Source organism: Homo sapiens, chromosome 2 (genome assembly GCF_000001405.40).
Source record: "Homo sapiens chromosome 2, GRCh38.p14 Primary Assembly".
NCBI lineage: Eukaryota > Metazoa > Chordata > Mammalia > Primates > Hominidae > Homo > Homo sapiens.
Window position 1 is genome coordinate 17321813 of NC_000002.12, and position 14588 is coordinate 17336400.

A 14588-nucleotide genomic window follows, 5' to 3' on the forward strand; every position below is an offset into this window, starting at 1 on the left:
TCTCCAGGCTTTGGAGAGGTCTGGGAAGTATCCAGTAATTATCACATAGCTCCTAGTTCCCTTGGTCACCTCACTTTCTGCCTCTGGCCTCAGCATTACCACAGAGCCTCCAGCAAACAAACTCGTCAGAAGGAAACCACCTAGGCCCTCTCATATGGTTTGGCTGTGTCCCCACCCAAATCTCATCTTGAATTGTAGCTCCCATAATTCCCACATGTTGTGGGAGGGACCTGGTGGGAGGTAATTGAATCATGGGGGTGGGTCTGTCCCATGCTGTTCTCACGATACTGAATAAGTCTCATGAGATCTGATGGTTTTATAAAGGGTAGTTCCCCTGCACATGCTGTCTTGCCTGCCGTCATGTAAAATGTGCCTTTCTCCTCCTTTGCCTTCTGCTATGATTGTGAGGCCTCCCCAGCCATGTGGAACTGTGACTCCATTAAACCTCTTTCTCTTTATAAATTGCCCAGTCTCAGGTATATCCTTATAGCTGTGTGAGAACAGACTAATACACTCTCCCAGCTTGGCCTCAGGAAGTAAGGGCTTGCTTTCCAAAGCACAGCTTATTGCTCTAAGATTTCCACATCCCTCGAATGTTTGATGTGGGCCTTCCCAAGGGGCCATATTGAACTACTCCTTACACCGTCACTTACCACTGGGCTATGATCCCACAAATCATGTCCCCTGGGAAATTTTTCAAAGAAGGTCTTTATTTGAAAATCAAGTTGTTCCCTTTCTGCCTTGCCCAGCCCATGGGAGCCAGAAGCCTTTATTTCAAGGTGGAGGCGGACCAGCTAATGCACTATATTGTTCCAGGAGTTTTAGAAGCAGCATTCAGCCTCTGCCAAAGTATGGGCTCCAGTTGCCAATCTTCTCCATTTCCAGGACATGCATTGAACTCCTCAAAATCACTAATTATATCCTGTGGAAATCATAATTCTTCCTACCAGCTTTTGAGCCTGCCTACTTTCAATGAAGCCAGCAGGGCCCAAATGCTGGCTCTCTAGGAAACTGCTTCGCTATGAATGGAGGAAAAATAGAAGGGGAGAAATGTTCTTTCTTTGGAACTTAGAGGCCTGGGTTTTAGTTGCAGTTCTAACTTGAGTGTGTTCAATGGACTTCTCCTCATCTGCATCTATGTCCTCGTTTCTGAAATGAAAGATTGGACATGGTATTTCTGGGGCCCCTCCTAGCCTGAAACAATGCTAAGTTAGCCTAAAGGGGCATCTTTCTGTAGGTTCTCAGAGCTTCTATCCACTCAGAAGCAAGAAGGTAAGCCCTGGGCCTGAGGCACAGGGAGGTAGATAGTACCAAGCACAAGAACAAGGAAGATAAAGAATCAAAGCAGGGGTTTGTGGGCCATGATTTCCTGAAATGTATTTCAGGAAACACTACTTTCCTGGAAAATAAATAGGTGCTGCTGTCTTAAGAGATAACCTATGGTCAAATAAATTAATTTGGAAAATGTTCACTCAGACAATGGCTTCCTTTCCTGCAGGTCTTCTCAGGGCATTTAATATACTAGTATGAACTGTAGATCTCCCAACACTGCATATAATGTGTGAACATTCCAAAGTAACATTCCGGAGCAATCACTCTGGGAAATGTTCATCTAAGAGAAGCTACAAACATCAACAGAGCTGATAGCTAACTGGCCAAGCTTAACAGGCCTAGCAATAACACCTGAAATTAGACTGGCATCATCGATGAATTAGTTAACGGCTATGCATTGTTCTGCATTAAATGTTTTTGAGTGTGTGGAACCCAGTTCTTTCATCCAGTGTTTATTATGTGCTTCCTAAGGATTTAGGCCTGTGCTGGAAGAAAAGGGTATGTGCCTGTGAGTGTGTGGTGTGTGAGTGTGTGAGTATATTGTGTGAGTGTGAATGTGTGTGTGAGTGTGTGTGTATGAGCATGTGAGTGTGTATGTGTACATGTTGAGCAAGGGTAGGGAGGTGGAAAAGTATAGTGAAAGAACTGTTGCCTCAAGACTCATAATCTAGTGAATTAATCAGATAAAGCTCCGTAGGGTAACGACGTAAGTTCATGAATCAGCACGTGAGGGAGTAGTCAGGAGAAGCTTTGTGGAGAGTCAGGACTCAGGCTGGTCTATTACAAATTCAATTAGTGTAGACCAGATGATAACCTGACACAACTGAACATGTAAGATTTATCTCCACTTACAAGTTGAGAGCTGACAAATATTTCTTAGTACCGACAGTGAATAATTGGTAGTGCTATTATAAAGTGTAGAATTAACTTTTCTCTGCCTTGAGCCAATTGCAATGTATGGCCATTTCTCACCTCTCCTTTAATATATGATTCTTCCTCTTCTCCTCCTACTTTGACATTATCAATCCTACTACCTGTCCTCTGGTTTTTCTTGACTCATGTAAATTAATTTCCATCAAGCCCCAATTTGTTGCCAGTCTCTTAAGAGGTCTAAGAAAAATACCATGCATCTCAGTTATTCCATCATTCTTTATCATTGTGAATTTCCTGATTTCCTATGGGCTCACTAAGCAAGCCATGCTCAACGGTAGTGTGCTCATGAACATTTGCCCCACTGAAAGCCAGAGTGAGACCTCTAACACTGGGGACCTCATATTTGGATAAAAGAGATAGCTGACCATCCCCATTCTCCTCATCCATCAGGCCAAAGAGAATGCTAATTGGAAAGTGTTGCACATCTCCAAGAGCACTCTGGAGAGCCCAGGCCAAAGCTGATAGAATTTTTTTGAGACTTACAGGTATGTACATTTCTAATTCAAAATATATTTCGACAGTAGTTAGTATACAGTTATATGCTCAGTGAAATTTGAACCTTAATAAAGTACAGAATAATGCTACATCAGTTCAGTTTCTTGTGCTGTAGAAGAACAATGTGCTTTAAAACCAGAAGATTTAGGTTTAAAGCTCAGGGTTGCCACTTACCTGCTGTGTGACATCAGGCTAGTGGCTTAGCAGAACCAGAGGTTCTTCAATTATGAAATGAGTATAATACAGTCTATCTCACCGGTCTTTGGGAGGATTCACCACTAACATGTATGTATGTGCTAAGTGTGTGCCTGGCACATATTTAAAATCTTAGACCCTTTCTCCTTTGTGGAGAGGCAGTGAACAGGATAGAGGTTAAGATAGCAGTTCCTCATGGAAGTCCCACCTCCTGAGGCCAGGAATACTCTAAGTCTATCTCACTGCCTGTCATGGCATTTATATGAGAACTTAGTGAAAAGAAATGTGTGTATTCTTTGAATGTCAGGATGCACCAGCTCCTAAAATAACCTTGAAAAATCCTCTGATACCAGCTCTACATGATCTCTTTGGATAGCATTTCCCAGGGTCAGTAAGCTCTGAGATTTTAACCTGGCAAATTTCAGTAGGTCAGGAGATTTAAGGAAAAAAAACAAAAAACAGAAAATCGTGGGCAATCAATTGCTATGATAGCTGATCTCCAAAATAACTTCCAATGAACCATGCCTCCCTGTACTCTCTTCCTTTTGTCATCCCTTCCCATAGTGAATTTGAGTTGACCCTGTGTAACCAACAGAGTGTACCAGAAATGATACTATGTGATTTCTGAAGCCAGTTCATATAAAGCCTTGAAACTTCTGCCTTGATCTCTTAGAACAATCACTCTTGAAATGGTCCCACTGAGAAAGTCAGCTTCCATGTAAGCAAATTGACTGCCCTGAAACCACCACACTGAGAGAAACTCAAGCCACCTGCAGGCAACCTAAGGATGCCAGGTAAAGAGAGAGAGGCCACAGAACACTGAGGGGCTATGGGTATGAGTGAAGAAGCTATCTTCTAAGCGGATCCTCTGGCCCCAGCCATCCCAGTTATTACCACATAGGTCAAAGACAAATCACCCAATGAAGCCTTCCTGAATTCCTGACCCACAGAGTAGTCCTAAGCAAAAAAAAAAAAAAAAAAAAAAAAAAAAAAGTCTGTATAAAGCCAGTACATTTGGGAAAAGTTTGTTATACAGCAGTAGATAACCAGAACACTTGCTCTCACTCAATCGAGGAGTACCCTTCACATGGAAGGAACACACAGAACAGGTTTTGATTGTTGACATAATAAGAAACTGGGCTGGGCATAGTGGCTTATGCCTGTAATCCCAGCATTTTGGGAGGCCGTGGCGGGCAGATCACCAGAGGTCAGGAGTTCGAGACCAGCCTGACTAACACGGAGAAACCCCGTCTCTACTAAAAAAAAAATACAAAATTAGCCAGGCATGGTGGCACATGCCTGTAATCCCAGCTACTTGGGTTGAAGCAGGAGAATCGCTTGAACCCGGGAGGCAGAGGTTGTGGTGAGCCAAGATCGTGCCATTGTACTCCAGCCTCGGCAACAAGAGCAAAAATCTATCTAAAAAAAAAAAAAAAAAAGAAGAAGCTGACATGAAAGTTCAACTGTCTGACAGAGACAATGGTATCCACATTTTTCGCAGTTGGGAAACTGATGATTTCAGTGAGAAAGGTCATGAGGGGATCTGGACTATCTGTAGTAGGAGTGATTTCAATGAGGAAAGGAAGTGTGTATAGAGCACTCTTTCTAGGCACGATTGCATACATTCTCCTGTTGAATCCCATAGTGGATCTTTAGAATTGCATTATGCTGTTCATGTTACAAATCAGGAAACTAAAGAAGGGAGAGATAAATGGCCCTTCCGGGTCACAGAGCTAGAATGATTATCCCAGTTATGCTGGTGAGGAAAGTAGCCTTCACCAGCTACCACCTGAATGTTATTCTGAGTTCTCCTTTAAGGTTGATTCTGAAATTAGAGGTGGCAACAGAGCTGGCAGGCCATGAGCAGGGCCAGCACCACCTCCTCAAGATTGTTTAGAAACGGTTTAGAAAATCCAAGCCCCATATAACCATCCAAGTTCAACTTCCTGAGCCCCCTTGAGAAAGTCTTCTGCACACACATTTATTGAGTATCCCCTGTGCTAAGACTTCAAAGATGTATAAGAACTCTCCTTGACTCAAAGAGTTCAAAGTCCAGTGGAGAAAGCATTTACATAAACAAAGAATTTAATTGGCATTAGGGGCTGTGTGGAGTGCCAAAGGAGCAGCTAGTCTGAGCAGATCTGAGAACGCATTCTGGAATGCATGCTGATGGCATTCAACTTGGCAGGATTAGCAAGAGTCAGCCAGTCTGAAGTGACAGATGTTGTCCTCCTTATAGGGAGACCCTCCACATTCAGCCTCACTACGCACTGCTTCTAGAACCCCTGTTCTAAACCCACAGGAAGGTGTGACTGCCCCTTTCTTTCCATTAAACCTGTCTGGAGTTTCCAGTCCTTTGTCAAAATATAACTCACACGAGATGCCTGAGTGGGATGATAAATTGAGGGAGTTGAATTTTCTTCATATTTTGAAAATAGGGCCCAACTGAAAATACCTCAAACATTGATGGGAAGTTTAATATTTCATTTTTATCTTTCCCACAAAGCACACTTCACACTCCACTGAACTAGTTCCTGGGTCTGGCTGAAAATCTTCCACTTTATGTGGCTTTGCTACATATTCCTGTCACCCCAAATGCTCCTATCTCTTGATATGAAACTTTATTTCTCATCCCCTTTTAGAGAAGAGCTCTCACTGCTGCTGGTTCCAACCTGGCTAAGTCCAGGCATAAAGAATAAAATATCCAGTATCATCTCTCATGCTGCCTCTCTCTCTCCATGCACACTCTGCTCCAGCCATAAGGAACTGCATGCATGCCCTACATATACCATAGCATTCTCACTTCTTCATGATGTTCTCTCTCCCTGAACATCTTCCCACACCCCTCAACCTTGAGCCACCCAGTGAACACTTCCTCCAGTAAGTTATTGTGTGCTTACCACGCACTAAACATCGTTCCAGCACTCTGACTCCTTCTACTGCAATGCCTCTCACAGGATTTTACTCACTTGATAGAAAATAAAAAGAATTTTGATGCCCCTCATCCAGTAAGAAGCAGGTAGAGTGCAAAGTTAGTTCACTGCAGTAATAATGACTCATAGGTTTTATTTCATGCCTGTAATCCCAGCACTTTGGGAGGCCTAGGCTGGTGGATCACCTGAGGTCAGGAGTTCATGACCGACCTGACTAACATGGTGAAATCCCATCTCTACTACAGATACAAAAATTAGCCAGGCATAGTGGCACATGCCTGTAATCCTAGCTACTCGGAAGGTTGAGGCATGAGAATCACTTGCACCCCAGAGGCAGAGGTTGCAGTGAGCCGATATCACGTCACTGCACTCCAGCCTCGGCAACAAGAGTAAAACTCCGTCTCAAAAAAAAAAAAAAAAAAAAAAAAAAGATTGGCATGCAAATATAGATACAAATGCAAACATTGGCTTTACATAGAATGGGAACTTTTCCCATAGAATAGGAAGCGGGAAAGTCATTTAATGTTTAAAAAAACACACACACACTTTGTTTTGGGGGAATGAAATACAGATATTTAGTGTGTGGCTCCTCCTCTAAGAGGAATGATGCCAACCAGGGCAACTGGTGCTGGTTCTGGGACTAATTCCAAAGGTGGGCAGACCTCTCTCTTGAGCATCTCCTACAGCCTGGAAATTGGCTTTTGTTCTCTTCCTTCTTTCTCAGCTCTTCTCCCACTAGGTGTTATAGAGAGAGAATATGTTAGGTTGGTGCAGCTCCAAACACCCAGGGGCTTTCAGGTGAGTGAAATAGCTAAGTCATCTACATTGACTTTTAAAGAAATGCAGGAGTTTCCCAGGAACTACATAAAGTTCCCAGAGCTACAGTTTCTGAGGAAAGAAAAGTTCCCCAAGTGCTGAGGTGTTTAAAGAAGTTTTCCTAGAGGAGGACAGAATCCTTCAGAGACAAGAGCTAGTGTCAGAGAACTTTACAAGGCTACTTTGGGATCTGGTATATCCTGACATTCAAAGAACACACACCTTACTTTTCTCTAAATTCCTATTTCAATGCCCTGATTGGCAGAGATAGCCTTGGAGTATTCCTGGCCTCAAGAGATGGAACTTCCATGAGGAACTTCCACCTTAATTTCTATCTTCTGCACTGCCTCTCCCTAAAGGAGGAAGGGGCTAGCATTTCTTGAGTATCTACAAAGTCCAGGCACAGAGTTGGCACATATGTACATGTTAATGGTGAATCCTCCCAAACACCTGTGAGATAGGCTGTGCTATGCTCATTTTATAACTGAAGAATCTCTGGTCCTGTTAAGCAGCTTGCCCAAGGTCACACACCAGGTAAGTGGCTTTAAACCCTGAGCTTTAAACCTAAATCTTCTAGCTGTAAATCTCATTGTTCTGCTACAACATAAGAAACTGTATTGATGTAGCGTTATTCTGTACTTTGTTTTATTAAGGTTCAAATTTCGTTGAGCATATAATTGTATACTATCATAACTACTGTCCAAATATATTTTGGATTCGAAACTTACATACCTGTAAGTGTCAAAAAAAAATTCTGTCAACTTACTCTGGCCTGGCATCTGCACAATGACATTATTGCTGAACTCTGCAAAGAGTAAATCATAATTTATCCTGTGGTATTTCTTATAGCTCCCCTAAACTTTTTCTTACCCAATGCTATTCCTGGACTCCTGTCCTGTTTTCTGGAAAAAAAAAAAAGCAACAGAATTACCTGCTGAAATAGGATCATTCTGAAGTTAAGCATAATTAAGTGTTAACTAAGTGCAATAGTATGTCTTTCATCTTACAGTCCCAACATTGTTAATGATTTTCTTTTGGATTTTAAAGCCAGCTAATTAAAATACTGAAAGCAATGCAACATTGCATAAGTCAATTTCTTGTATAACATTTTGTCCTTGGTTTTGGCCTCTAACTCATATTGATCACCCTAAGCGTGAAAAAATCTGTTTGGGTTAAGCAAATATATGATCCATGCAGATATTTCTCTGAATGGCTGCCTTGAATCCAGGGTGCTCTTGGAGATATGCAGTACTTTCCAATTAGCACTGGGACACAGGTGTTGCACAAAAGCAAGGTCATTATATGGAAAGCTTATCGTGTGGGTCCCTTTGGTAAGTCTGCTTAAGAGCCTTCCTATTTGCTCCTACTGGCCTTCTCTTGGATAATGCATCTAACAAAAATTGCCTGCAGTATTCTCAGCAGAGAGAGTGAGGCAAGATGCGATTACAGGGAGATAGGAGCCCAAGGACCAGGGTGCAGGTACAAGTCAGAACAGCCCAGGCACTGAGAATCACTTGATGTTGAGCTACCTATTCAACAAAATGTGTATTAAAATAGATATGCCTTTTTTATTTATTTCATTAAAAACACCTATAACTGCCTACTATGCTTCAGTCACCATTCAAAATGCTCTAGAAACATTTACTTATTTAAAACCTGCACAACCCTTTGAGCCAGACACTAGTGTTACCCCTATTATATTAATTAGAAAATTGAGGCACAGAGAAGTTAAGAGACTTGCCCAAAGTCACGAGGATAGAAGTTAATCATCCTTTGGTTTCCCTGGGCCTCACTGGAAGAAGAAGAATTATCTTGGGCCGCACATAAAATGCGCTAACACTAACGATAGCTGATGAGCTAAAAAAAATAATAATAACAACAAAAAGAATCTCATAATGTTTTAAGAAAGTTTATGAATTTGTGTTGGGCTGCATTCAAAGCCATTCTGGGCTGCATACAGCCCATGGGCCATGGGTTGGACAAGCTTGGTCTAGACCACAGTAACCCTTTTTGATTTGCAAACATAAGTATTTTTCAGCTCCATAAAATTATGTACATAATATTGCTTTCAGGATTATCTCTGATTTATTACCGTTTATTTTTTTTCTTGGAACACCTATCTTTCTGGGATTGGGTATTTGCTTTCTGAGTCTTATATCTATTACCATTTTATCCATGTTTTCACTTTTTCTTTTTCTTCTGCATTTCAAAAAAAATTTGAGACAAGGTCTCACTATGTTGCTCAGGATGATCTTGAACTCCTGGGTTCAAGTCATTCTCCCACTTGAGCTTCCCAAGTAGCTGGAATTACAGGCATATGTCACTGCACCTGGCCTCAGATACATCTTTGATTTCTATTGTTTTCCTTTTGTTTTTAAATTTTACTTCTTTTTTCTCCTTCCTTTGCAGATTTTTATTCAGACACTAGATTTTGATTTTATTTAACAACAGATTTAAATTCTGTTATTTCAGATAATTCCCTTTTATATCTACTTTGATTTCAACTTAGTCTTGACTTATGCACCTATTCCTTATATGGAGAATGTGCCATCTTAAATTTATTAAATGGGTCTTGCAGAGGGTTTCTAAAATTGAATTCCACTTTCTCTAGCAAATTATTTTCAGGGGCATCTCTTCTTCTGAGTATTCTAGGTAATTCTACTTTCTTTGAGGGATGAAGCAGAGGGAAGGTGTGTGGATTATCCTTCAAGCCACCATACACATACACATACACATACACATGCACATACAGTCCTCTTGAGTGCCAGCAAATTCTAGAACTCATATATAGATATATCCAGAGCACAGATTGATGTGCACAGTCTTGAGTCCAAATACTGAGGCCTAACACAATTTGGTGTACCTCTGCTTGGCCCCACATGAGATGTTCTGCTGTTGGTGTCAGGACCCCGATACACTACCAAATTAGATTCAGTCTATAGCTTTTCTTTGAATACTATAGTATGTAAATGGACACTAATTAAGCAATATAGTCCATTGTGCAAATGAAATGCTAGGGGAAAGAGAAATATGTTTCCTGAAACAAACAAACCTGGTCAGAGAACACGGAAGCATCTGACGGATGCAGCGTGTCTTGGACAAAAGGTTCAAAAATTCCTTCTGATTTTTTTTTCTGTACTTAGAAAAACAAACAAAACCACCACCCATCAGACCAATGATTGAACACTAGATGCATTCTACCTTCCACAGTCCATGAGTTTAAGGCCAAATGATTAGATATTCCATTCTCCCCTCCAAAAAGGAAGCTTGATCCTTTTATTGTAGCAGATGGTACCATGCTCATCATCAGAGCAGTTCTCAATGTGAGAGAATTCATGCTGGCATTACATAAATCTCTGTCCCATTTCTGCTTTGGGGCAATCGGACATATGGGAAGTTTAGATTTTGAGGATGTATCTTGTTGAATTCTACACACAAAAAGATACCCTAATACCAAGCTAGCATGCTAGTCAGCTTATGATCTAGTAATAGAGAAAAGGCAGAAGCAAAGCCCTTTGGTCCTTCCTGACCAGTATGAGATGTCTAAGAAGAAGACTTCCTCAATCATACTGTGAACACTATTCTCTATTCTATCCTTGTGCTATTGAAAGCAGTAGCCTTAATGGTATGGAAATTCTTGGAGTGGCATCTCCAAAAACAAAAACCAATTTAGACAAAAGAGGACAAAAAATGTCCAGATGGCTTTGCTGTGCTCACCATTGTACATGAGGATCTGCTGTCCACAGCAGCCAGAGTGCATCTGTTCAACATTTTATTCAATTACTTAATTAGAGTAATGTTCTCTCTTTAATTGTCACTGTTTTAATAAAACATAAAATCAAAGTAAAGTTGCTACTGGATATTTTCTGACATGTAGAGTTTAAGGCATAGAAGAAAAGCTTCATCCACTATTTCACTGACTCTTGAACACATGTCCATACCCCTCTTTCCATGGACTCAGCACTCCCATCAGACACAGAAAGCTTCTCTTTGAGCAGAGGAAAATTTGGGAGCAAACTTCTGATGTTATCCCCTCAAGCAGATCTATCATTATGTTGTTGAGGAGAGAAAGTTGGCAGCAAGAACAGAATGATTGATCACATTGTTCTTTCTCTAACTTGCAGAAATTCATCTCTCATGCTTTGTAAGAGTTATTCATTTGGAAAAATAAGATACAAATGAGCAAGCCTTGGAATGGAAATGCCCTGGTAGTAAGACAGACATCTCAAAAAACATCATCTACCTTTTTGGAGTTGGAACACTTTTCAGGGGCTATTCTGCATCTCTATGTGTAAATGCATTTATAAAGTTCTGCTGAGAGAGGATCTGTCCCCTTTACAAATTAAAAGTGATATATATATATTTTTTGACAGAGAGGTAAGCCTCATAAAATGGCAGGAACCCTCTGAATGAAAACAAAACAAACAAACAAAAGAAGGTGATACACCTACCATCTACCATAGATAGGCTATGCACTCAGAATTTTGTAGACCCAGAGGACAGAAAGAAATCCCAAAGTCCAGTTAGCTCACATTAAAACCCCTTGGAATGCATTTTAAGAATATTGATCCTTTAACTCCACTTCACACAATTAAATCCAAATCTTGGGGAAGAGGCTGGATGTCAGTATTTTTTAAGTGCCCTTAGGAGATTCTAATGGGTTGCCAGGGTTGAGAACAACTAGCCTCTTGCCAAATGAGGCACAGGAAGAATCAAGGGGAATTCAGATTAACCAATCAAAGGAAGATCAGCATAGGGGATGCAGATGGCATATATGGCATCTGAACTTTTTCTGTATTCAAGCTGGATGCAAGCTGCATGCATTAAAAATGAGCCATGACTGGACAGTGGATGAGAAGAAAAAAAAAAAAAAGGCCACTTTAGTGTTATTTGAAAGTGTATACAAGGCAATTTAAAGACTTCTGTCTTTGAATCAGAAGCTGTTTATGAGAAAGTTGTTCTAAAGGCCCAAAAGATCCAAAAAGTGCCATGCAGATGTGTGTGCCCTTGAAAGAATAAACATTTGTAATTTAGTAAAAGTCAAAACAAAACAGAACAAAACCACTAATTTTGCCTAGGTGCTATGGTTCAAATGTGTCCAAACCATAGACTCCATGTGTTGGAAACTTAGTCCCCAGTGCTGCAGTGTTGGAAGGTAGGGCCCAATGGGAGATGATTATGTCAAGAAGGCTTCACCCTCATAAATAGATTAATGCTATTACAAAAATGGTTTGTGGGAGTGGGCTTGCTCTCTTGGGCTCTTGCCTTTCCACCTTCTGCCATGTGATAACACAGAGAGGGCCCTCACCAGATATTGGCTCTTTGATCCTGGACTTCTCAGCTTCCAGAAATGTGAGTCAATAAATTTCTGTTCATTATAAATTACCCAGTCTCCAGTATTCTGTTGTATCAGCGCAAAAGAAACTGGGACATTGAGATAATTCTTAAACCTTTTCTGGATTTATATATTGACTTTATATTATAACCATTTGTAATAAATAGTTCTATGATTTCAAGAAGGTATTTCAGTGGAAAAAAACATGAGTGTGTACCAGAAAAGTTGAAGCAGAATGGTTAGCGTGGGAGATATACAAAGACACAAAGTCAGGGAAAATACACAGGGACACAGGGTAGTGGGGGAGGAAGGAATATTAGGAATTTATTTTTCCCTTTTACTGAATCTGGGAGGAAAGAGGCATGGCATCAAGGTTAAAAAATTGTTCTGTGCTCCTCAACACACATTTTAGAAACAGTGTATTTCTCCTAGGTCAACCGCAAGCCAATTACTTGCCCAGCTAAGAGTTTACAGTTTTGCTACCACAATACCATTCCCTGGAGACTTCAGGAATCTGGGTAGAGAGAAATCAAAGAGGTGTAGAATAAGTGGTTTAGAATTCAGACTCCCTGTATCAGGCTCCCTCCTGGGCTTCTGAGCCTGGGTTGCTGCTGCTGTGACTTGTAAACCTCCAGATGGCTCCAGGCAGGCCCTACAACAGGGAATTCTGTCATCTGTCCAGGATGCCTACATGGGGCCAACTGCAATCTGTGTTTCAATTTGACCACTTGATCTTCTACATTGGCTTGTCTTCTGTTTGCACAAAATTTGATTGAGATTTGTTTTATTTTGACAAATACTGATTTGGAGCTTAAATTTAACAATGCCAGATAGAGCTCCCAAAGATTCTGTCTTCTGTGATTTACAGAAGACTTCATGGAAATTTAGCCCAGATATAAAGGTTATATACCAAGATGGATTTGAAGAGGACTGCATCATTTATGTTCTACCGGAGAACTTGACATTAATATGCTTTCTGTATAGGATAGCAATCTACTATAACAGTGAAGATTCTTTTGTTTTGAGTATGGCTTAAACTTTACTGCCTCATAGAATGGAATGAATGCTGGACATGGTGTTGTGAAGAACTGGATTCAAGTTCTACTTCTGCCACTGACTAAATAAATGTCTTCATTCAGCTTGTTTTTTTTTTCTTATCTTCTTGAATTTGACTTTCTAATTTGTAAAAGAGAGAAAACATCAATTACCTTGTCACCATGCTTAAAAGTTAATATGGAAAAAAACACAGTATATCAAGCTGAGAAAAATGCCTTGCACATAGTAGTTTGTCAATAAATGTTATCTATTGTTTTTATTATTCTTATTAGATAAGTAAATAACTATTTCAGATGGTAATTATTAAAATGGTTTCTACAAATAGAAGACAGGCTGTAAAGCAACATCTCCATCATTTTTAAAGAGTTATTTGTTATGCATGTTTTCTCCTTAACAAGCAGAAACAAGGGAGGAGAGCTGCTGAGAAGCAAACATCCTAGTGTTTTGCTAGTGGATATGGTGAGAAGCCCCCTCCTCTGAAAGAGGCCAACACTGATACTGAAGTAGATACTGGCTTATCCACTTACAGAAAATTCCCTATTGCTACCATTACCACTACTTCCTGCTAGAAGAAGAACTGTTTTTGACATAGAACAATTTAATATGTGATTAAAATAAGACCACATTTTCATCAAGATTTCCAGCCAATTGAGCTAAAGAATGCTAGCACCTTGAGAGGAAATCCCTGGAGAAAGAGTATTATGAAAATCTGGACTTCTGCTCTGAGTCTGTTAGACAAGGAGGGTTAGGAAAGAAGAGTGGTGATGGAACCTACCTAGTCCCCTGGGTCCTCATAGAAGCCACCTTGGCCTGCCAGACACAGCCAACTATGAGTGTGGATGAGGTAGGTGGGTGAGTGAGCCAAGGCTTAGGGGCAGAAGAGTCTATGGTCCCTTCTCTGGATTGAGCTTCTGCTGCAATCTGTAGCTGCTGTTGGAGCTCAGAGAAAGAGGCCAGTGAGTGTCAGGCCTCTGAGCCCAAGCTAAACCATCTTATCCCCTGTGACCTGCATGTACACATCCAGATGGCCGGTTCCTGCCTTAACTGATGACATTCCACCACAAAAGAAGTGAAAATGGCTGGTCCTCGCCTTAAGTGATGACATTATCTTGTGAAATTCCTTCTCCTGGCTCATCCTGGTTCAAAAACCTCCCCCACTGAGCACCTTGTGACCCCTACTCCTGCCCGCCAGAGAACAACCCCCCTTTGACTGTAATTTTCCCTTACCTACCCAAATCTTATAAAACAGCCCCACCCCTATCTCCCTTCACTGACTCTCTTTTCGGACTCAGCCCGCCTGCACCCAGGTGAAATAAACAGCCTTGTTGCTCACACAAGGCCTGTTTGGTGGTCTCTTCACACAGACGCAAATAAAAGTGAGCACCAGCAGATTGGGAATATTTCCCAAGGAATGAAGAGCAGAAGCTAAGCCTTGAAGTATGGGAGAGTGAGCATAATAGAAGGAAAAAAAAATGTATCTAATACTTATGTAA

The 14588-nt window shown here is 40.9% G+C and overlaps 1 annotated feature.

Annotated features, from left to right (window-relative positions):
• Positions 13958–14459: an enhancer, noted in NCBI's record as "NANOG hESC enhancer chr2:17517037-17517538 (GRCh37/hg19 assembly coordinates)". NCBI's record gives its function as "activates a minimal SCP1, AML or CMV promoter by ChIP-STARR-seq in primed H9 embryonic stem cells {active_cell/tissue: H9 hESC(primed)}" and the evidence as "EXISTENCE:reporter gene assay evidence [ECO:0000049][PMID:30033119]".